The sequence below is a fragment of the Homo sapiens genome, chromosome 3 (assembly GCF_000001405.40).
Source record: "Homo sapiens chromosome 3, GRCh38.p14 Primary Assembly".
Lineage (NCBI taxonomy): Eukaryota > Metazoa > Chordata > Mammalia > Primates > Hominidae > Homo > Homo sapiens.
The window spans coordinates 99,859,148-99,883,971 of record NC_000003.12 but is presented as its reverse complement, the minus strand read 5'-3'; the positions used below and the strand labels follow the sequence as shown (position 1 = coordinate 99,883,971).

Below are 24,824 nucleotides of genomic sequence, written 5' to 3'. Positions count from 1 at the left end.
AATCCAAATCTTACTACAAAACACTGAGTGTGATTTTCCCCAGAAGTTGCTGGAGTCAGTATGCAGTTCAAACTCTGGTGCCATCATTCCCTAGCTCTGTGATCTTAGACAAATTACCTAACCTCTCTGTTCCTCAGTTATCTATCCCATAGGGTTATTATGTGGATTAAAGTTGTTACTATTTGTAAAGCGTGTAGTGTCTGACATCAATTAAACATTAAATGTGTCACCTATTATTGTTTTTGTTATTATTATAACAATGAAGTCATACAAACAAAACCAGTATAGAAGTGATTATCCTAGATTATCACAGAAGCAGTACATGATGACAACATTTGGGTGTGCAGTTGTTCATTAGAAGACTGATGATCAGTAAGCTCTTTGACTCAACAGTGTGATATGGTTGTCTAAAATGGTAAGAAAATCTGTTTATACAACACCCCCCAGCCAACACACACATTCACATAGCCTATAAAAGGGGAGGATAACTCTGATAATGCTGAAATAATCATGATGAAATAATCTGTTCATTCTAAGCACCAACCTTTTGGACACAGGGTGTGAAAAGACTAAAATGATATAATATAGGAATAACTGAAGACTCAAGACAAACTTTTCAAATATTTAAAAGACTTTTATGTCAAAGCAACGCATTTATTCAACATGGTGTCATGGAAAGATGAAGAACAATGAGTGGAAGTTAGAAGCAGCCAGTTCTCAGTTTGGAATGGAATGGACTTGCTGGGGAAGTAAAAAATCTCTGGAGCTGTTCGGCACTGATTAATAACAACTAGACTGTGCATGTACCAATTCTTAGATAAAACACTGAAGTTTTGAGAGATAATTCAATCTAAGCGTAGACACAAGACTTTTGACATATCTTCCAAACCTGCATTTTATGATGTAGACTGGATGCTTAGTGACATAAATTATAATAGAATTTCTCATGTACAGAACCCCCAATTGGCAAGCATGCAAGATAATGGTGTTACATGATAACACAGAAATTTATATTAAAAGTTCAGACATCTCCATTAGGGTTTTGACATGTGGCCAATCTTAGTGGCCTGAGATGATAAGCAGCAATCTATAAATCTCCAATTTAAAACAAATGCAACAAAAGAAAACATTTCTAATCCATAAAGTAGACAACTAGCTCATTAATGTTCCAAATTAGTTTTGCAGTTAGTATAAGCTAGGTAAATTACTCAATTATTAATTGGGATTTCAGATACTAATCACACTGTTTGTGCCATTTTTTCATGTTTCCCAAAAGAAACATTCAGTCCCAGAAAACACAGTGACTGGGTCACCAATTTACTGTGTGACCTTGGGGCAAGTCCCTTAACCTCTCTGAGCTCCAGTTATCTCATCTATTTAAAAATGGGAACAGAGAGTGGCAATAAGAAGATCAGATGTTTTCTAAGGCCTCTTATACCCTAAAATATGATTTTATGAAAGGATCATTCTTCTTAATAAAACTCTAAGCACACCTTTTACTCTTAATTTGTTCATTTTTCTCAGTGAATACATTTCCAGCCATTATATGAGGAAGTGGAAGATTTAGTCTTACCACCACCACTGACTGCTTATATGAGACAGTTTTATTTTGTCCTTCTAGAGTCTGGAAGAAGTTGCCAGACAAAAGGAAAGGATTTTACAATTAGAAGCCACCTTCATATCAAGCAATTAACTACATAAATAATGGACAAAGCAGAATTTGGAACCGAAAGGGACGTTTTAAAATGTAATTTTCATAAAAATAATCTTAGAAGAAATAGTTTTACTCTTATTTTTTTACTTCCTGGATGCTTTATTTTCTCAGGCTTTCTAGGACCATTTCAATGAGTCTTGAAGTTTATAATTAAAATTTATGCTCAGGAATTGCTCTATTTGAGTTCCAAAGATAAAAGAAAACATATAAATCCAATTTACCTAACTGTTCTACTCTTAGTTGGTCAACTATTCCAAAGACATCCTAAACTATTCCAATGACTTCAAACTAACAAAACTTGTTCAATTGTACTTTGAATCCACAGGTCTTTCTCTGCAAATACTTACCCTGAAATCAAGCTCCACATCTACATGGGAAAATCTGTCAGTGGTTTCTTTAAAAATGTATTACTTAAAAAAGAAATGGGTCAGTCACGGTGGCTCACGCCTATAATCCCAGCACTTTGGAAGGCCGAGGCGGGCAGATCACCTGAAGTCAGGAGTTCGAGACCAGCCTGGCCAACATGGTGAAACCCCGTCTTTACTAAAAATACAAAAATTAGCCAGGCGTGGTAGCACACATGTATAATCCCAGCTACTAGGGAGGCTGAGGCAGGAGAACTGTCTGAACCCAGGAGTCGGAGGTTGCAGTGAGCCGAGCTTGCACTACTGCACTCCAATCTGGGCAACAGAGTGAGACTGTGTCTCAAAAAAAAAAAAAGAGAGAGAGAGATGGGCTACAAATTATATGACAAGGTCCCTTTAAAAAATGGACTGAACAAAGCACTGAGAACAATCTGTACTGGCAAGGGACAGGGAAGATGACCTAATAGGTCTTTTCCGTCTCTAATTTCTGTGATTTGGGGGTTTTTTTTCACTTCTGCAGTAATACTTGTGAGTTCAACATTTTCTCAAAACTATTATTAGTTACCAAGGAAACACAAAATGTTTGTAGGAATAAATAAGCAAATGGACTGGACCTAAGTAACAGACTTTTCCTGCTTCCCATTTAATAATCTTACAGTGGCGTCACATTACCAATTCTTCATTCTTTCTAAGTCATTCTACTTACCTACTAGTATGCTCACTAGAGTCCATAGCCAACTTATGGCATCCCCTGTAAACCAAGGGTAGGAAGTCTCTTACCAACAGATGATTCCTTATTAAATAGACTTCCTTGCTTTGTTTGATGAGGAACAAGACCGTGGCAATGTTAGGGGGCCAACAGGCAGTAGTTGGCTTTGTGACCACCAATGCTAGGGAGAATATGTAAACATGCGCTTTTAAATAGCCCAATGTCTACAGAAAAGCCACTAACATGATTCAGAAATATATAATAAAGGCAAAAAGAAACATAATATACATACACATATACATACACATACAGGGTCCATCCACACTACGAAAATGATGCTTTATAAATGCTTAGAAAAAGACTAAAAGAAACACAGTACATTGAATTGTTAATAGTTGGCAGTATTCATGTGGTAGGACTACATGTAAAATTTTTTACTTTTATGCATTTTCCAAATTATGAAGGGTGCCTATTAATTTTAAAATAAAAAAAATTTTAAATTAATTTTAAAACAAAAAAATTTTAAATTAATTTTAAAACCACAAAATATCATCATTTTAATGTTTTAATAACAAAGGACTTCCCATTCCCTAGCATCACATGGACACTACTACTGTAATCACTTCTCAAGGTACATATGTCACTGTTCTAGAGTCATAGTCAGCTGAAGTATGAGCAGAATAATTGGAAGCCTTCTGGAAACTCTGCGGACCATATATAGGCCTGGGACCAGAGATTCAGGCTACAGATAAAAGTAAAGAGGGTCTATATATATAGACCTGCAGTTCATATATATATTCAGTTACTGCAGTTTATATGTATATTAAGGTCTGCTGGTTAAAGGCTCTTTTAAGTACAGTTTAAGTGCGGAGATATGGTATATTTCATGTGGGTATCTACATGTACAGAGCCAGACAGGTGGCACCCAAAGAACTGAAAGAAGAGTGAAAGAAGAGTGAAGAAATGAGGTTGATTAGAAAAATGATTGTCTAGGGCATGGAGAGAAGGTTCTTTTACCACAGACATCCCCTTTGGCTCCACATTCACAGTTGCCTACAGGTCCCTTCAGCCTTCGTCCTAAGTTGTGTAGCAGCAGAGGAGAAGGGATCGGAGAGTAGAAGCACAGGATCGGATCCATGGCAAGGTTATCCAGTGCTCAGTGGCAAAGCTGCTTTGCAAGAAGGCTGTGGGTAAGGTGGTAGAAGGTAGCGTGGGGTGCAATAAACACCGAAAGCTCATATTCTGGCCAATCCAACTGTAGTCTGAAGCAATGCAGGACCATGGAACTATACCTCTCCCTATGCAATCCTGGGTCTGTTCCCACTCTGTTCAGCTTCTTATACAGGACCAGGTCCATAAGACCAGGTCTTATACAGGTCTTGCTGTTTTTCTTTGTACATGACAGTGTTTCCATATATACTATCTCACAGAGGCAAAGAAGCAAACATGTCATATACAAAGTTAGCATTACCATCTCATAGCTCAAAGCAGAGCTCCTAGGGAGCAGAGCGTACCAACTGCTTAAATGACCAAAGGACCAGCAATGAAAATTTTGGGTAGCTGCAAGAAACATCCTATTAATTACTGCTTCTTTGGCACTTACTATACTTGGATGACTGAAAGACATGACCAGTCAAAAGAAGAAACAAAGGCAGGGAGAGAAGACATGAAAGAAAATAAGAGCAGTTACTTCAAAAAGAGGAACTGGCTTGATGTGATTAGCAGTATATTAATGGTATTTTTTAAAAGTTAAATAATGATGATGTTGTAATTATGGTCAGTAGCAACTGACTTCACTAATAACACCTGTTAATGTGGTCATTGTCATGGCCTCCTGACAATTAGCTCGAACCAGGGAAACTGGTGATATTAAGCTGTCTTTGACATAATATAATATGGCTAAATCTAGTTGGTATCTCCTTGTTTCTTGCCTTGTTACCTACAAACCCCTTCTCCCGCATTAGAAAGCAATGAACTTGGTAGAAAAATTTCTTTGTATCATTTCTAAATAACAGTTTAAAGCTAGTGCTGATTTAGATCATAAACTCAGATTACTAATTGTAGAAAGGACCTTGGTGTCTAGGTATGCTTATTTGTAGTAAATTCCTGATTAAAAAATGAAAAGAAAGTCACAAAAGTAATTGGACAGAACAAGGTTAGGAAGTAAAACTCTCTCATCCAATTTTGAGGCACAGTGATCATAACTCTACTATTTTCACAAATGAAACCAAGAGAATTTCACAAATGAAGAAAATTTCAGAAACCAAGAGAATAAAAATTACATCTCAGAAAGAATTTTGGTTGAAAGAGGGAAGGAAATAAAAGTCTACTCATCTACTTATGTGGCCAATGGCGCACAATGCCAACAGCTGGTTGGAGTTTGCAATACACCACCCAGGGTACTCTTGTATCAGTTAAAGGTCCTGCTCCCTCAAAACCCTTGACTTTCGTTTGAAGTGAAATGGTGATGATATTCTAATTTTACTAGAACAAGATACGTTGCTGCCACCTTCCAGAAAACTGTCAGTAAATCCACAAATCCACAAAAAAGAGGATGAGTCTTGGCTTTCCCAGTTCAAGATTCAGTCTAGAAAATAAACAGAAACTTCTCAGTTAAATCTGAACACTCCTTTACCAAACATACCTCTGAGAGATTCTGAACAAACTATTAGGAGAAGACAAGACTATTTATGTAGAAGAAGGCTATATATGTAAGACTATATATGTAGAAGGCTATATATGTAAACATTGCTTTAAATCCCTGTATCATTACTTTAGTAGCGGTGTGACCTTGGTCAAGCCACTTTAGCCTTCTAAATGTCTTTATCTGAAAAGAATGGATCATATCACATCAAAATGTGTTGTGAAGATTAAATGATGAAATGCTTGTAGAGCACTAAGTATGGTGGTAGGTATGATCTAAAAGCTCAACAAATGAGGGCTATTAATATTGGTTCCTGAAGACAGTGGTCACATAACTATGACCTCACTTGGAAAGCTGAGTCATAGCTGGGTCAAGAGACTGATGTTTCAGGAGTAACACATTAGTAATGTAACCAGGCAAGTAGTGTACCAGGCAAGGGCATACAAGGAGTAGAAGCCCTAATCCTCTTTCCTCTATTCTTCAGAATATAGCTAAAGAAAAGGAGGAAATAATACTAACATATTTCATGGGAACCAGCAAGTCAAAAGAATGAAAATAAATGCAAAACTTGAGTATGGATATGTGAGAAAGAAACAAATGGTAGTGTTAAATGTTAGGAAACATATTTGCCTATCAGAGGGAAAAAGATGCAAAACAAGCTACAAAACTGTTAGCTTTGGGGTAAAAGTATGCTATCAGTTTGGGGCTGAGATTCAGGTGTTTATGCATCATACAACTTTCATAAAAGTCATTTAATCTCATTTGTAATAAAAAATGCAGCATAAAAGTCTCAAAAAGGATATTTAATAAGTATGAGGTAAGCACAGGAGACTAAAAAGATTACAATGCAATTCACAAGTATAGGGCAGAAGAGTTAAAACCAACAAAACTACAAACTCAACATCCAAAATGTTAGTACACAATTGCAAATCAAATATTAAATTTTAAGTTCGGCTGAAGAGTATGTGTAATTCACATCTCTTAGTATACTGTATATGAAAAGCAAGAGTGAGTTTACTTTAGGTTTCTCAGTAGGTACTTAGAGTGATCTAGAATAATGATAAAGTGAACTCCCAATTTAGTGAAGAGGACATACATTTAATGTTGTGCCCTGCATCTTTATTCCACACCATTTCCACTAACAACTCTGCAAACATCCTTTCTCCACTCCACACTAAGAAAATGAAGCGAGCAGACTATTTTCGTCATTCTTGTTTGACAAAACATATGGAAACAATAATTCTACAGACATATGTACATCATAATAGGAAGCAATCCTATTTTAATGTAATTTTAAAAGAGGTTTTAAAAGGACTCAAGCTACTAAAATTACTCATCTGAAGCTTGCAAATAAGAATGCCACGTCCCTAATTTATTTAGCAGATTCATATAGTTGGGCTAGAACTTTAGGTATGACTTCTCTTATAATTCGGAGGTGAATTCTCATTCACAAGAAGTAGGATTTGTACAAGTAAATCTACCCCATACTAGAGGATAATATTCTTAATTCAATCACATTTGGCTAATTTCTTTTTTCTTCACGTGGTTATTTTTGGCTTTATTTTGTTTGCCGGTAGAAGAGAACAAACATTAAAACTGGCTCTAAAGTTCTAATTTTATACATTGTCTTGAAAGTACAGCACAAAACATTTAATTTCTTTAAAAATTTTTTCCCTGCCAAAAAATGATAGTTTTAACTGCTTTCGTTAAAACACAGGCATGCAGAAATGGGGAAAGAGGAAGTTCTTTCAGGAAAAACACTGAAAAAAATAAGATTTCATCTGGCCTTTCCATCATCACTTGAAGAATTGTTTGGTAGTTACATCATCAGGAAATAAAACACCATCCTCTGAGGACCCCTACTCATTACAAAGAGGAAAGAGAAGGTTTGAAGTCTAAATCACCCCCAGAGATGTCTCCACAAAACCCCAGACTTCTCCTTTCCCTCTCCCGCCTACCCCCAGCAACCAAAAATAAAAAGTATAATGAATTTACAAAAGTTTACATAAGAATAACAGGATGTGTATTGAAGTCCCTGAAGCAACAACAGCTTTAGGGACCCAGAGGGAAAAAAGTTACAAGCGGATCGACCCTGCCTCCCAATGACTTTGTTAGCCCGACAGGAGGGCGCCGGCGCCCCGGCCCACCGGCCCACCACTCATTCCCTCCGCTGGGAGCCGGGAACCACGGTCCGTTCACACGGCCGGAACATCCGCGGGAGCTGGGGTGTGTGGCTGCGCCGCCGCCGCGGCCGAGGGTCCCGCGGTCACCGGCGCCCCCGCCGACAGCGCCGCACACGCGGAGCGCCTTATAAGGCAGAACAGTGACGTAACGCCCATAGGCCGGGCGCGCTCAGCGCCCCGCTCGCATTGTTCGGGCGACTCTCGGAGCGCGCACAGTCGGCTCGCAGCGCGGCACTACAGCGGCCCCGGCCCGGCCCCCGCCCGGCCCCGGCGCAGGCAGTTCAGGTAAGCCCGGGAGAGCAACTTCGCTCCACCAAGGGGCACTGCTGTCAGACAGCCAGGTAGCAAGTCTGTGGGTGGCTGTTAAAGCTGTCTCAGCATCACAAACTGCAGACAGGTTTCGCAAAGCGCATCCAATGAATTCTAGGTTCAAAACCGTTTCCAACTCACACAAAACTTGAAAGTAGAAGTTTTCTCTGGAGGAGAAAACAGATTAGAGATTTAATTTTAAATGTTGAGAGGTGGGAGGTGACTGTATTACATACGCTTTCCAAGTGAGCTACACATTGAATCCTGCCCATATTGAGAAATCTTTGGGGAAAGGGTGGGGGAGACTATATTGTACTGCAGCAACCCTATCTCTCCTCCGGACTCAAACTCGCTTGTCTTACATGAGCAGAATGCGAAAATTTGTTAGTGCCAGGTTTTCCCCTCTTTTTGTAAATGTTAATATAAACGACTAGAAAAACACTGTTAGGAATACATCTTGGAATTAAGACGAATCTAACTTAAAAAGTAAAATCTTTTTAAGCTTCAAAAAATCGTACAAACGCTATTTTGTCGTAAAAGCATATGTCAATTTGTACAAGGAAGTAACTATCATAGTTTTGAGTTCTAACTTTCTGCTTCAAGTCCAGGCATTGGAAAAATGACAAACCTCACTTACAGCTATCATTTCTAGAGTAATATTTTGGATAGTAGTATATTATGTAAAAAATGCCAATTTAAAAGGTAAAACTTATAGAGTAACTGTATTAATCAGTAACATTTTAAACCATAATTAGTTACATCTAAATCCTGAAGAGGCTATTGCTACCAATGAACTCTTACAGTATGATAACTGAACACTTGGCAGAAAAATCTCCATAATATTTTACTTCATTTTTTCCAACTAAAAGTCAACGTAGGAATTAAAAATAAAAAGGTTATGTCAACTTTAGAACACTGGAATAGGAGATGAAAAATTGATTCATCATTCAATCCTTATCTGGTCTAAACATATATTGTAAAATAAAACTTTAACAACTATGTGACAGAATTGTCCCTTTTAAAACAGTCTCTATGTTTTATAAGTATATACAATTCAAACTCAGAATTCATAGGCTGCCATTTATATTTACTCTGAGATTTTAAAATGCTGGCATTTTAGTTGGCACTAAAATGACCATATAAGATAACTGTTTGGAGGTACAGTAAAAGTTTAACAGAGGAGCAGAGCACTATAACCACTGAGGTGTATGTGTGTGTTACAAACTCATGTTTTTATATTTAATTGTCAGAAGAAAATGTCAGATCCCAGATTTTATCATTGAAACACAGCATTTAAAAAATACTCAAAATGTGGGTTATATCTGTATATTTCTAATAATTTCTGTTGGATGGTTTTTAAAAGTATATGACATTGGTGCCTATCATTTTTGCCTCATAGCAGTTTTTTTGTTTTTGCTAATTTTGTTTGGAGCAATGCACGACTTTGGTTTTCATATTTTAAAAGAAAAATTATATGTTATTTGGCCTGAGGATAGGCTATATAAACTGCAGGTTAGTACTGAGAAGTAGGATTTTCCACAAACTATTATTTCAAACCTAGGGAAGCCCACCATAATGAGAAGAGCGGGGCCAACACCCATGTCACTGTGGAGAAGTACAGAATATGCAATGGAAGAGTTGTTTATCTGATATAAGCGGTAATTGGAAACTGAAAAATTCCTGCTCTGGAAAAAAGATATTCTGCTCTTCTGAATCTAACAGAGGAAGAGACAAACAGAAACCATCAATTATTGTTTCAGGTATACCCAGAGTACCATCTGTACCATAAACTACAACTCAACTGTTGAAAATCATAACTTCCATCAAAATTCTAACAGCTGTGTTTCCCAGTGTCTTTTATTTTTTTAAAGCAGGCAAGCATCGATTTTTTAAAATTTAAAAATAACACTCTTTAATATTCCACACTTTTTCCCATTTATTAACTTTAAAGCATGGTTCAAAGAACAATCACATAAGACCTCTTTTAAAACTGAAAGCTAAGTATGACTTATCATGGATACCCTATCTCACACTGGGCTCTTTGGATGAGCAATTTCTTAGTCCTTGGGACAATCTGTATGATGGGAAAATGTTTTTGATAGAATGAATGTGAATTTCTACACTTCCAAATAAAGCACATAATAATTTTATGCTTAGTAAGTTCATTTGCACTTTTGTGGTGATTAACCTTAACTGTTAAGCCCTGGTATTTTTGTGCTATTTTCCTAATGCTGTGATGGAGACTATAGTAACAGCCAGTATGAAAACACAAATCAAGCCTTGACTTAATTTTCCGGTTCTCTTGCAGTTCCCATTAATTTGCCTTCTCAAAAGGCTGTAAATTTTGTTTAAGGGTTCTCTGCTGTAATTTCCCCTCCAAAAAAGTGCCTTTGGTAATAAATGGATTTTGAGATTTAAGAAAAAAAACTGAAAATGTAGGAGGAAGAATAAGATTCCAATAATTCTGCTTAGGTCATGTTCTGTCCATGTCTAGTGCTTCAGGGCAAAGTGAACATTTTACAAGGTGAATAGAAAAAAAACATACAGCCCCTCCTATTTAAAGGAAAAAGGAAGAGGGGCAAGAAGAGAACTGTTTATAAAAGACTGGATATTGTGGATGTAAGGCAATATTGGTCTCAACCTGCTTCAGGAACTGAAATGGCCCCATCTGTTGTTCACAGAGCCTGTCATCTTTGAAAAATCTAATACACCCTACCTTATCTGTTGGACATATTAATTTTAAACGATTTTAAGGTCCATTTAATTTGTATTTGACCATGAATTCAGCTTCAATTTAAACTGATTGTTTAGTTTTTGTAAATTATATTTAAATAAGGATTTAAAGATGAAGAGACACTGCATATGCAGCCAGCATCACAAACCTTCAAAGCAATATTTCTGTGGTTGCTGCTGTCATCACCACAACATTTTCTAGCCACCAACCCAGTCACTTATGCTTAAAGTGTGCTGCAATGACTTTTAGAACCTCCTATGGCTGGTCATTTTCTACTTAAAATGAGGTAGGACATTCATGTTTTGAGTCATTTTGTTAGGTACACTAATTCCTAGCAGATTATCACCAACACTTATCAGCCTTTGCACATCCCTCCTTTTTTTAAAAAAAAAAAAAGACTTGAGATTCTCCTTGACCTTCATCTGCACTAACATCGTCTCTGCCTGGGAAAGCTGGGCAAACAAAAATGGGAAGGCTTACCAAGGAAAGTCCCTGGTTTCTTTTTCAGATATGAGAAACACTCCCTCTTCATGCTTGTTCTCTGAGATGCTTTAGCAGATTAAGATAGGACAGCAGCAGTTTTAATTCTGAGCCCAAGAACGAGAACACATTAGCAGTATTCTTTTTCCAGTCTGACCGTCCTCACATTTCTATGCTCTACTGGCTCCAAAATATGATAAATTGTTAAGTATAGAATTTTTTTTAAACAAGCTTGGGGAATGATGTGTTTGTGGGGGCAGGCAGGGGAGCAGTAGGGAGGTAAGTAGAGGAGTAGATAGGTAAGTGTATGATTGGGACAGACAGGATGCAGACATACCTCAACTCCTTGTGTCTGTTTATGATAACTACTTATTCTAGCCTAAAGGAGTTATTATCAGCAAAAGAAAGCATACATTACATCAGAACAGCAAACATTCAACTATGAATTTGAGAAGTACCTTGATAAGGTACTTGACTATATGGAAAATGGGATACCCCAGGCCCCACAGTCACACACACACACACACACACACACACACACACACACACACACACACACACACAGTCCTGGCACAGAATATCCACAGAATTTTACAGCTGGAAGGGGCAATGGAGGTCATCTGATCCAAATGCCTCACTTTACAGAAGAAACTGATGTCCACAGTGTGACTTGCCCCAGAGACACAGCTATGCAGAGGTAGGGCCAGGGCCCCCTGCATTCTTGGGCTACAGCTCACCAGTAGTTTTTCCTTAATTAGTGCTAGGAAGAGAGGAGAACAGAAGCCCCAGAAAAAGCCTCAGTACTGTAGGTGTTAATTTAGATATAAAATCCATTAAAAAAAGAAAGTAGAAAGGTTCAAAGTTCTTAAGTATAAGCAATAAAAAAGCAAAGGATAAGGAAGCATTGTGAAAATCAATACAATTTAATCAGGCTACAACAACAGAAGGGAGGTGATAAAGGGAGGAAAGAGAAAATAAAAAATAAGTGTATTTAAAGGTCCTCCGGCTGGCAAATCCCACTCTCTACTTGGAAGGTGAGAGGTGCCCTGGAAAGACTGTGTACTCTGTGGTCAAAGACATTTGGGTCTGAACCACTAACTTGACAAATGACCTTCTATTAGTATCTTCCAGCTAAGCATTTTGCACTCCTCAGACGTCCGCAGCTAGCAGGATCCCTTTCAAAATTCAAAGTGACTCAATGCCTTCAAAACAACCTCCCCCAAAACTGCAGAGGAAGTCACCTATGAAGGCTACAAGCTCCTGGTGGTACTTACCCTGCTTTATTTTCCTTCAAACTGTGCACTGTGATGTGACATTAAATTACTCATTAATGATTTATTTGCTTATTATCTGTCTCTTGGACTATAAACTCCTTCAGGGTCAGTTTTACAACCAGCTTTACCTCCAGTGCCTAGGAAAGTACCGAGGTACAATTAGTAGGTGTGTTGCTGGGACAGAAAAGGTGTTGGATAAATATATGAACAAATTACAACCTAGAAGCTGCTTATTTGATACAAAAAAAAAGTGTTTCTGCAAACAGTGGGCTGTGGAGGGCCCCTTCTTCTAGATTTTGTTTAGGAGCTGAAAACAAATCTCAGCCACTACTTAAAGCAACCATATGGAAGTGACTTACAGAAACCAGTTAGGCTCAGGTTAAGTCAAGGCAGTGAACTTAACTAGAAACCAAGTTAGGCTCAGCTTAAGTCAAGGCAGTGAAATCTGCTTTGTATGGCAGTGTATGTTATATAGGCAGACTAAGTCAGATGCTTTTCTGCCCATCTTCATCTACCTCAGTTTAATTCCCTCCCCAATAAAATGAGACTTTGTATACCTGGTGAAGGAGTATCAGGTGAGTCACCCGGGGGCATGGAATGGCCTTCAAGCAAAATATGGAAGAACACAGTGCAGTGGTTAATGAAGGGTGGACTCCTCTGAATTTCTCTAATCTCTGTGCCTCAGGTGAAGGCCTGGAAGATGCACTTACGGGGCACAAATGGCTTATCTTTGCCATGCAGCAGACTGCCTTTTCCCAAGCATGTACTTCATTCCAAAGTTTCTGTGGGTAAACCAGTGTATCTCCCAGATTTTACAGAAGAGTGATTTTTCTTTAATTTCAAAGTTACTCCAATGTCAACCTGTGAAGCTAGCCTAGGGCTTATAATTCTCCTCAGCAGTAGCAAACATTTACTGAGCTAAGCACAAGGCATGAAAACAGGCCCAGCAACTAAGTTCACCACACACCATACCATGTCACTAACCCAGCTATAGCTACTAGCATGGACTGGTACCACATTAATGACAAGGACTAAGATCACTAGCAGCTCTTGGACAACAACTTCAATTATGGTCCCATCCCTGCTCTATTTTAATTGACTGGTAATGCAATGAAGGTAGGAGAGATCAGCTACACATAAAAACTAAGTAAAGATAAACAATGTGGGAGAATGCTTATAAAAACTTCAACAGAATATAGTCAATGGCCAACCTTGCTGAATAGTGACACTGAATTGACAGGGATAAATGTTAGTGTCTCAACGGTGAGACTAAAAGAGTAAGAATAATGGGTGGATAAATCAGAGTTCTACTCTTCTTAGCTCTGCCATCCATTTACTGGGTGAGCCTCCTGTTCCCTTGGTTTCTACAAATTACAAAAAGGGAACAATGTCATCCACCCCAAGTATTTCTCAGTACTCAATAAAGATTGAATAATGAGCAATAACCCTCATGGGAACTCTGATCAAGTAGAGAAGAGACAATATAAAAATAAAAGCTACTGATTATATCACTACAGAGACAAATTAGCTAAAGAAAATGAGGGTAATTTGAGGGAAAGAGTCCACATGTAAATGGAGAAAAGATGAACACAGCTGTAGCACTTGGGCCTGTGAGAGCTCCAAATCACTGTATCTAAAGCAGCCTCAAGGCTGAGGTCAGTCCTCTAAGATGGGCTGCCCTGACAGAAGCAAATCTGCCAGATTTATTGTGTCTCATGGCCCACCAGTCCTGGAACAAAAGTTTAAAGGTGAAATATGTTTTTCTCTTTCTTTTTAAAATGCTTTTTTATGTGAATCAAAACAAAAACAAATCTCTGAGCAGAGATCATAAGTGGAATGTAAAACATCACATTTGGGCTCGCAAGACTTAAGTGTCTGCCTGTTAAATTTGAAGAAAAGGAAGGAGTTGCCTGGTCCAGGAGCCTAGAGAGAACATGAGAAAGTTGCTGGTTTCTTGCTGAAGACAAACACCCATTCAGTGAGATATTGTGGAAGTCCCTTAGTCTTAACTTGTTAGTCTGTTAATTGGGAATGGCAGAAGAAGTGAATTACTCTGTGGAATTTTGTGAAAATGAATCCACTGCTGCTAAAAGGAAAATTATCTACTTTTCAAACACTCATATTATTAAAATAAATACATTATGTTTGAAGTCGCATATTATTCTTGAGGCTTTCAAATAAAAGTGAGAGTAACTTTGCCAAGTGATTTGGGGCTCCACTAATCTCCCCCCAAATTCTGCCCCATAAAATTCTTTTTACAGTTCAATAAAATTCATTAGGCTGAACACAGATGCAAAGAATCACAGGCAAAGTTAAGATTCTCTGGCCAATTTTCCCCATCTGGACTTTAATTAAATTTGTCTCCAAGTGAATTCTTCTCTTCACTAAATGGTTCTCCTTCCAGAAGTGACAAGAACAAGAGGAACAAAACTCTACTTGTCCTTCTTCCATTCTAATAACAAGTCATTCTGAGAACTTTAGGTACCACTCAGCCTAAGGGATGGTTATACTCCCCTAGGAAGTGGTTCTTTTTACCTCTCTATCATTTGGTCAAGTATGCACAGAGTTCAACCCATATGAGGGATACAGAGGTATTATTCCTTTAAGGAGCTTACAGTTGGCTTAACGGCAAAAGTAATATACTAAAACAAATTAGAAAGCAGTACAAAATAATGTAGAATATTTAGGTAATAAAGCTGTAAGGGCTGTGGGGACTTAGAAAAGGAAAATCAGCCAGGGTTAGACAAGTTAAGAAACATTCATGGAAAAGATGGGAACTGAAATGTAAATGGAGATGACTGAATGCAGCATTCCAAAAAAGATGGCAGACTTATTCTTCAGAAGTCTATTATGAAAGGAGAACCTGAGGTTAAAAGACAAATAAGGCTTGTGCCAAGATCAGAGCACCCAAACTGTAAGTTTAAAAACCCATTATTTGGCCTTCAGAACAACCTGGACTTATGCAGAAAGGAAGGCAGCTTAAAGTAACATCACTTCTTAACCTGAAGCTTAAACGTGATGAAGCAGTTGGCACAGTGCCAAACCTATAGCAGCTACTGTTACTCTTCTGGTTATGCTAGTCTATCCATAGGGATGATGCTCCTTCATCATCTGGTGCTGCTGGGCTGACATATAGGGGGCTGTCTCAGGCCAAAGAGGAGGTCCTTTGTAGGATGCAGTCATGAAGAATTCCTGTTCTCAGACACCCAGCTGTGAAGTGGAGTAAAGGATTAAGCTTGTTGAAGATCTGTCTCTAGCGTGCCTAACCTTAGCCACTCTGTAAGGAGAGGTTACCCTTTACCTTGATTTCCCTGCTACAAGGCAGTCCCTCCTGTGAGAAACCCACAAGAACTTTCCTAAAAATGTCTTACTCATCTGAAGTAAGAAACAACTTCCTGAGCAGGTAAAGGACCGAAGAGAGCTGGTGACTGCAAAAGGCTTAAAAGCTAGTTTGGAATCTCCCTGTTTTACCATGCACCCACAAAAAACAAATCTGTAAGACAAATCTTTACAACCTGGGCTAAATGGCTTATATCAGATCCTAGCCACAAACAATAAAGAGTCTCTTTTGAAATTAACAGTCTAAATACTTTTTGCCTAGGTGTTAATTTTTCAGTTTAATTGTACTTTGAATTTAGTATAACATTTTAAGTACTTATTTGCTTTTACAGCATACTTACAACTTGTGAACTACAACAGACTCAAATAAATCTGAATCCCATGGAATTCCAATTACGGTTTTCCATTCTTTTGAACCATTGAGACTTGATGAGCCATAAAATCTCTTGACATGTGAATTTGTATACAGTGTTATATAGGAAAGAAGGGAGGAAAGGACTCTAAAGATTGTTGGGAGTATTTATTTTGTGGAACTGAGATTTGAGATTGCCAAAGGCTTTGTAGACCTTAGAGACAAAATTGCACTGCTCTTCCCATGTTGCAGCTAAGGTGACAAGCAGATGAGGTAAGGTCAGATAGTTAAGTCACTAGCAGATTTTGGTCCAACATTTCCTGTCCATCAGATATGTGGCTTTTCAATTGTTTAATACCTGGGGTTCTGCTTTCTTTGTTTTTAGCTGTGAATTAGTAAACTTTAAAAAGCGATGAATAGTGAAGCCAGAGCTTTTTTCAAAAACCTTTTTTTCAGCTACTAAAACCTGAGATAGTTTGCCTTCTCTTAAAATTCAAATCACAAGGTAAGATATGGTCAGGGCAAAAATGGATGGTATTCAAATAGCACATACATGAGGTATACTATAGCCATTTCTTTAACTGCCACAAACAGAACATTTCTCACATAGATAAACTAAATGGGTGAAACTCCTGCTCAGGGACAGTATAAGCAGCAGACCCAGGGCCAAGAGAAGTGGGGTACAGTCATTGCTCTCACCTCTAGCAGATATGCTGTTGACCACTGTCATATTTTGATGGAATTACTCCTTGCTATGCAAGCTTAATATCCTCTAGAACATGTTCATCTTAAAAGAACCCAACTTACAGGAAAGGAAGTATGATCAGACTGTTTATGCATTTTCTGTCTTCTCAGTATTCAGAAGTTGCTGAAAAGGAAAACATAACCCAAATGCTCTGGACTTACAGTCAAGGGAAAATTAAACAAGGCTCAGATAACCAAAATAATTTTAATTTGTACAAAGCATGCAAGAGGACAAGCAAAACACAGACCACAAGAAAAATGGTCATTCATGTTCCAGCAGATTACAGAATAAAACTTTTCCACCTGTCTGTAATTAGAGATGGCATATGGCCCAAACTCTCACTTTGCAAAAATCATGGAAAAGATATAAACCAATCATCCTCAGGAACTAGGAAGAGTGGGTAAAGGTAGAAGTAGGATGCTCACTGTGGCTCATGATTTAATTGTTTACTCAGCAGGAAGCCAAGCCACACATTAACCCTCATCCTCTAACTGCCTGAACCTCTAAGTACTCTTAAATGTATTAAATTTCCCTATTTTCCTTGCTCCTTGTTTACTGATTTATGACAGCTAAAATCGAGGACCCAAAAAAGTCCTCTAAGGATCAAAATGTTTCACATTTTATACTCTTCAGGCTGCTATCCATCCTGTTTCTATGGCAAACTGTGACTTCAGTAGTCACAGTAAAACATAGGCATCTGTTGTTGTGGTTTCTAAATTTCTGAAGTTTGAATTTCCCACTAACAAGTTAGGAAACGTTTGGTTTCCCAAGCATACCACTTTAGCCACTGCCTCTGTGTAGGCAGCCAGACTACAAGGAGGTGAAAACCAGTGAACTTATCCATTCTGGTACGTGACTGGCCCCTGCTTTGGCTTTTTATTAAATGTGGTGAACTGAACAACAATTAAGGTAAGAAAGCCACATAAAAAAGGAAAGCCTTTAAAAAAAAAAACACAGGCTTAAAAAAAGTTTTAACTTTTTGCTCAGAATAAGTTCTGGAAAAGGATACATGCTTTCTACAAAGGAGAGAATAAAGGAGAGAATAAAGGAAAGAAAAGCAGCCCAACGAAGAGTAGAGGTTAAGAGAAGGAATCATATTAAATCCTCCAAAATGCCCACGTGCAATATCTAAGTGAAAATAACCTGTGACCTGGGAAGAGAAAAAAGGGACTAATGGAGGTTAAAAACAAAATTTAACAGCTACATTGGAATGATTTTCTAAAGAACCATTCCTGGATTCTTTAATCTGCTAAAATACAAAAGGATCATTGAAATATAAATGGATTGTGAGCAATAAAAAAACATATAAATATTCTTAATAAGATAAAATACATACACACATATTTCTAAGGATATATATATATATATTTATTATTATGCCCTTGAAGTCTGTCAGAGAAATGGCTGCCTGTTAAAAATATTTTCCAAGAACTTTAGGTTCCTTGAAATGTTCTATGGAAATGGTATTTATGACAAACCCACCACCTCTGGGGAACATGAGATGTTATTACTGGCAAAGTCACAATTTTTTAAACCATCCAAAAATAATTATGAATTTATGCCAAATGACGAAACTTGCTATATTATTATAATGACTAAGAGAATATTTGCTAATGTCTCAAGATCAAGGCTCAAAGTAGCCATGAACCTATAGGAAATACTGTGACACAACACTGAATTGCTAGTGGTGGTGATTTGGGATCTTTGACAGGCAGAATATTACAGCACACAAATTCACTGGAGAGGATGGCTCATGAGATATAATATATGAGATAGGAAGTGTGGATGTATGTAATGGGGTGAGAAACAGGATTTGGAGTAAAAACTACACTGGCATTCTGGCTCTGCCAATTACTCACCAGGACCTGTGGCAAATTAACTTTTTTGAGCCTCAGTTCTTATTTGTAAAATAAGAAGACGGTAATACCTGCCTCCTATGACTGTTTGCAGGACTAACACGGTACATGGCATATAAAAATTGTTCAACTAGCTGTTATTCCTAGACTATAGAGAGGAGGGCCTACTATATGTCTATTGCTTAGTTATACCCATGCTTTCAAATATGGTACCTATTTCAAAAATAGAAGAGGTATTTGTTCAAATATTTATTGAATACCAATTAAGTACCAGGTACTGTTCCCTACCAGAAATATAGTATTAAACAAAATAGACCAATGATTGACTAATCATTGAATGAGATGCGTGTGTGCGCACATACACACACACCATTACCTGCATGTAGTTTACATTCTAGTAGGAGAGACAGTAATCAATAAATACATAAAATATAGTATGCCAGATGGTACTAATGAGGTGAGGGGGAATCCAGTGGTTCCTGGGGAGACAGCGAGCACAAAAGCACACCATGCCGTGTTCTGTTTGAGGAATAGCAAAGAAGCTGGTGAGTGGGCAGAGGAGCAGAGTGAGCAAAGAGGAGAACAGTAGAAGGGGTCAGGGAGCCAAGTGGGTGGAGCAGAAAGCATGGGAATGAACAAATGAACACCAAAAACATGGTATGGGATAAGAGGAAACTCTTCTGAGGTCAACATTTTTTGTCTGGGGTTTCCGGCATGTAGCCTGGTTGTTAGGTAGAAAGAACACAGACTTCGCAGCCAGTGAATTTTTATTCTGGTCTGTTACCTGTACTGTTTGGAAAATTATTTAACCTCTGTAAATTTTAGTTTTTTGGTTTCTCCTCCATCTGCAAAATGAGAATAATAATACTTAGCTCATACAGTTGCTATAAGTATTAAGTGAGATCTAGTGGCACAGAGTAGACCTTCAATATGCTTGTTTCCTTCTCTTTATAAGCCAAGTCTCACACTCTAGTACCAGTTCCAGGGCCACCATAATGATGGCCTTGCATAGTATTAATCTGCCTGGGCCTCAGTTTTTCAACTAAGAAAATAAATGCATGTGCTCTACACAGACATTATAAAGATAGATATACAACACTCAAGCTGTTGTTATAAGTCAAATAATCTTACTGTTACAATCTATCTTAATAATTTCAAAACAGCAAAAGTATATGTCTTCCATACCTCCTACATATTAATTCCATTAAAAATAGATCCTACAAAGTTTAATTTCTTTAGCATGAAGTTGTAAAGATGTATTTAGCAACCATGTTTATTTTTATTCCCTTTTCCTGCTCCTGCTTAAGAACACTGATCCAATGGAAAGATCTCCAAGAAATGTTTGGCTGCAAAAAACAAGATGCTGAGGAACAGTGTTTGTAAGCTACTTTTGTGTAAAAAGGGGAGAGCATAAGAATCTTTATTTATGTTTGCTTATGTACTCATAAAGAAACTCTACAAGTACATAAGAGAAACTAGTATCAGTGGTTACAGTTGGGGAGATGAACGATGTGGTAAGAGGAAGACTGTTCCTAGTATACGTTTTAATACACACATTTTGAAATATGTGTCAAATATTTAGGAATACTAATTTAATCTAAAAATCCATAATTGAAATTTAAAGAGTTAAAAGTACACAAAATAGACTGAAAAATTAATTATCCAACAATATGAAAACCCCAAATGACCTATTTCTCAGACAACTAGGGTATCTTTCAATCTGCTGCTTTGTATTTTCTTCTGAAGAGTCAAAAAAATTATAAAATATCCTTAATAGTCTACTTGACATTTTTGACTATGGAAACCAAGCCCAGGAATAGTATATACAGTGTACTAACCCAGTCAACCCACCCAGACTTTGAGTCCCCACGTACAGGAGTCCCCAACCCCAGGGCCGAAGACCAGTACCAGTTTGAGGCCTATTACCGGGTCACATAGCAGGAGGTGAGCAGCGGGATGAGGCAGCATTACTGCCTGAACTCTGCCTCCTGTTAGATCAGCAGCAGCATTAGGTTCTCATAGGAGTGTGAACCCTATTGTGAACTGTGCAGGTGAGGGATCTAGGTTGCATGCTCCTTATGAGAATCTAATGCCTGATGATCCGAGTGGGACAGTTTCATCCCAAAACCATCCACCACCACCACCCTCTCCCATGTCCATGGAAAAACTGTCTTTGACAAAACTGGTCCCTGGTGCCAAAAAGGTTGGGGACCGCTGCCTAAGTAGACCAAGTCTATGAGTATCTAAACCCAGCAGACAAAGTACACATTCACATCCAAAAAATGAAGAGCAGGAGTAAGATGAGCAGAGCATCAGTGAGGCTTTGGGAAGGTCAACTATTAGCATCCATTTTGATATGCTGGCATTTCATTGGATATTGGACATTCACAGCATCATTCTCTTCCAGGAAGGGAGAAGAGCTGTGGAGTAGATCTGTGAGCAAAAGAGAAATGGAAGACAGTGGCTGATCCCAAATACATTTGAGTAGCAGATAATTAAGAAGAGTTATACAGGCCAGAGACAACGAACACAAAGAATCTAACAGTCTACCCAAAAATTATGCCCTAAAACAGTGACTTCTCAACCAGACTCAATTTCTCTGCAATGTCTGGAGACATTCAGTAGTTGTCTGGAGACATTCAGTAGTTGTCACAACTGAGCTGGAGGTACTGTGTTGCTCCTGGCATTTAGTAGGTAGAGATCAGGGATGCTGCTAAACACCCTACAGTGTACAGGACAGCCCCTACAACAAAGAATTAACCAAAATGTCAACAATGCTAAGGCTGAGAAACTCTGACCTAAAATGACAATCATTATGACTAACCATGTGCATAGCTGAAAAGATCCATGAAAAGCCTTAAAATAGATCGCAATAAACATTATGTAGTCATATCTTTCATTCCAATGTGATTTGTGCTATTCTTCCCCCAGCTGACCCCTACTTTAGGTCAGCTCATTGTGACTGACGTTGTCTCACTGTGTTGTCTCACTGTCCTACTTTTTTTTCCAATATGCCAAGCAAGTAGCACTTATTTTTATTTGATTTGATTTTTTAAATGAAAATTAAAACTATATTTAGGGCCTATAACATGATGTTTTTATATATCTAGATATTGTGGAATGGCTAAATCAAGCTAATTAGCGTATTTGTTACCTTACATACTTATCATTTTTTTGTGGTGAGAACATCTAAAACCTACTCTTTTAGTACTCACCATCCTACTTCTAATGAGAACGGACATGTATTGTGCCAGGCACTATGATAAGGACTTTTTGTATGGATTGTTTTTTATTAATCTTCAGAACAACCCTATTGTGAGGGAGGCTCTAATATTATCCCCATTCTACAGATGAAGAAAATGAGACTTGTAGGGAGGTTAAATTGCTTGCTCAAGTCACACTAGACAGAAGTTGGAAAGCCGGGATTCAGCTGCAAAAACTGAACTCCAGAGTCTGAATTTCTCGCTCTGCACTGCCCTGCCCTGCCTCTCATAGTTTTCCACTGTCTCGTTCCTATTGGTGCTTCGGTACTAGAGAGTGTACATGCTGTCAGTCATTCCACCTGCCCTCTGCCACCTGCACTGTTTACTGCAATCTCTTGCTGGGGGTAATAGGGAACAGGCAGTAGGGAAGACATTATCCCTGTCTTAAAGAAGGCTACCTTGGGCAAACAGACAAGATACAGAAGAACGCAGATCACAGAGAGTACAAAATCAACTGCAGAGAGTGGGAGGAAGGAATGGAGACAATGATAAACAATGAAAGCATTAGGAACCTGAGGACAAGCCCAGGAGGAGCACCATCACAATGCTAGGTGTAAAGGCAGCTCTGTATGCCATGAACTAGGAGGCACTTTCAGGAATACACACACATCTGTGATAATACAAGGCATCACATGCTGAGTGGCTTTTTGGATACTTCTCCCTAGAGGGACAGGGCAGCCAGGGGAAGGCATCATGGCTGTGGAAGGCCCAGGTAGGCTTTGGAGGATTAAGGGGACATCTACCTGAAACTGTTAGTCTGACAAAGACCTAAAGTCTTAATCTGTTGGAAGACAGGTAATTTTTTTTGGGAGGGCGGGGGTGTATTAACAATCAAAATGGAAAGTATGGAAAAGAGGAAACTTTGATTTAAGGGATCTTTTCTAAATAATCAAGAACCCCAATTCAGAGTGGTGGTGGGAGCAGGGGGTGGGGGAGGAAAACAAAAAGAAAAGTGAGAAAAATGAGTAGACTCTCTAGCACAGCAGTGTATTCACAGTAATTAACTTTTTAAAAGCTCCTTCTTGATAGATGTCATCTGAGTAAACGGCATAAAGAAAACTTCATTTGAGTAGGTATTTTTAATAAGAAAAATTAAAAGAGTGATAGGAGAGGCACAATATTCACGGTATTAAATGAACATCCATTGTCCAAAGGTTCTTACTAGAAAGCTCCCTAACAATACAGTACTGCAGAAGTCAAAACACATTATTTAGGCAGTAATTATCCTGGTACAAATTTACATGTGCTGTACTTGTTGTCACTCCCCTGTCAGTTCCAGTTTCTTCTTCCAGGTCTAGCCTGAGCATCTTTTCAAGTCTCCACCTGGCCCTTTCATAGCAGCATGGACAGTGTCTTTTCTAGCCCAGAATCATGGGCACCTCCTTTGTTCTCAAGATGAAAATATTCTCCTTGTAGCTGCCTAACTACCCAAGTTCTGTGCCTGTGGACCCTCAGACTGGCCTTTTACTTGTTCTGGAACCTCACCTTTCAGAGACCCTTTTTCTCAGTTACTTTGCTCCTTTTTCTGCTCTTAAAAGAGTGAGATTTGCCTCAATTCCAGTCCTTGTGCTCAATTTGAGGATTTCAGTACCGCTTTTTAGAATCCTGATTCTCTGCTAAAAGCTACCAAGCTCCTTATAATTAATGGGTCATTTGACTATTTCCATCTTATTTCACTTCTCCTGACCTCTGGGGGGCCTAGTAAGATTAATCGTTCAGGTGATGAAGAGTAATGACTAACAGTATACCATTTTTACCATATATTCCTCTGACACCAAGCTAAAGCCTCCTTCTTAACTTCCTGCCCTAATTCTTATTTCACAATGAAGGAAAATAGTATTAACCCAAATTGCTGGGTCTGGACCCATTTATGGTATCTCTAAAGGATCTCAGTGATGATGACAGGATCTTCAGTAACAAGGACATAAAGCAGACATAGATGTACACTCATATTCAACTAGCAGATGCCAAAAAAAGTGTTACTGTTCTACTGATCTTGCTGACTAAGTCAAATGAATTGTACATTACATTATGGCTATGGTATGCTGTAGCTGTAATTTTTAGAAAACCTTTGACTTGTGAAATACAAGGAAGCAGCATACACAGAATAAAAAAGACGGGTCACAGCTATTTTTATGAGTGCTCTTAAAATTTAGACTAAACAGTGAAAAGTCCCATAGAAAAAGCAGGGAGGAAAGCAAGGAAACATAAATTATAGGCCTGATACCAAAATTTATCTCAAATAAAGAAGCTTTCCAATAAATTCCATGTAATTACTCTGCAAACTGCTAGAAATCCATGGTTATTTAACCATGAACACAGCTACTATCAACGCAACACAGTTAAAATTATGTATTAGACAAGAATTGCTAAAAGATAAAATGGGATATAATCATAATCAGGCTATCAAAGTCTAGCTGTGAGAGCAGATATAAAAATAAATAAAGGAGTGTGATGTATGCAGTTTTCTGCTTAGTAATCAACATATTAAATCAGGAAGAAAAAGTAATGTATTAAACTAGCTCTGGAATAATGAGAACAAATACAGGAATTTAAGCCCATCAAAATGAAGTTACATACTTAGGACTAGGGTGACTGTTACACTGTTTCAAACATCTTAAGACCAAACAAGCTTTGGTATCATCATACTATTTGGTTGTTACTGGGAGAATACTGTAAGTATGATCAGACTGATCTGTGCAAGAATACAGGCAGGTTTTGGGGAAAAAAGAACTGACAAATAGCAAGTACAGTGCCTTGCACATAGTAGCTGTCACTGTATTTGTCTCATCAAGGTCTGAAATGAATTAAATGTCAGCTGAACTGCATAGCACTATGGATGGACCCATTTATAAAA

The 24,824-nt window shown here is 38.2% G+C and overlaps 2 protein-coding genes and 1 long non-coding RNA gene across 14 annotated transcripts in view, besides 3 other annotated features; 1 reads left to right on the top strand and 2 right to left on the bottom strand.

Annotated features, from left to right (window-relative positions):
* Positions 1 to 24,824, bottom strand: part of CMSS1 (cms1 ribosomal small subunit homolog) — a 363,871-nt gene that overhangs the window by 297,761 nt on the left and 41,286 nt on the right. The window lies entirely within an intron of this gene.
* LOC105374010 (uncharacterized) overlaps positions 1 to 24,824 on the bottom strand; it is a 223,532-nt gene that overhangs the window by 157,422 nt on the left and 41,286 nt on the right. The window lies entirely within an intron of this gene.
* Positions 1 to 24,824, top strand: part of FILIP1L (filamin A interacting protein 1 like) — a 285,691-nt gene that overhangs the window by 230,530 nt on the left and 30,337 nt on the right. For 5 of the 12 annotated variants that reach the window (NR_170715.1, NM_001387851.1, NM_001282793.2 and 2 more), the window contains exon 1: positions 7,799 to 7,900. The exons of 4 other annotated variants lie outside the window; for them this stretch is intronic. Coding sequence is in view for 2 of the 8 variants with exons in the window: in XM_047447376.1 (XP_047303332.1) it covers positions 19,959 to 20,083 (125 nt within the window). In the remaining 6 variants the exon portion in view is untranslated. Of the gene's footprint in view, positions 1 to 7,798; positions 7,901 to 9,485; positions 20,084 to 24,824 lie in introns of those variants that run through there. 3 more of the 12 variants (XM_011512371.3, NM_001370247.1, XM_047447376.1) reach the window with 3 other exon arrangements.
* Positions 5,633 to 5,927: an enhancer, noted in NCBI's record as "tiled region #14327; HepG2 Activating non-DNase unmatched - State 6:EnhF, and K562 Activating DNase unmatched - State 5:Enh". NCBI's record gives its function as "activates a minimal TATA promoter and a strong SV40 promoter by Sharpr-MPRA in HepG2 and K562 cells {active_cell/tissue: HepG2 | K562}" and the evidence as "EXISTENCE:reporter gene assay evidence [ECO:0000049][PMID:27701403]".
* Positions 7,493 to 7,962: a silencer, noted in NCBI's record as "silent region_14566". NCBI's record gives its function as "represses an Ori minimal core promoter by ATAC-STARR-seq in GM12878 lymphoblastoid cells {active_cell/tissue: GM12878}" and the evidence as "EXISTENCE:reporter gene assay evidence [ECO:0000049][PMID:35858748]".
* Positions 15,533 to 15,827: a silencer, noted in NCBI's record as "tiled region #1863; HepG2 Repressive non-DNase unmatched - State 2:TssF". NCBI's record gives its function as "represses a minimal TATA promoter and a strong SV40 promoter by Sharpr-MPRA in HepG2 cells {active_cell/tissue: HepG2}" and the evidence as "EXISTENCE:reporter gene assay evidence [ECO:0000049][PMID:27701403]".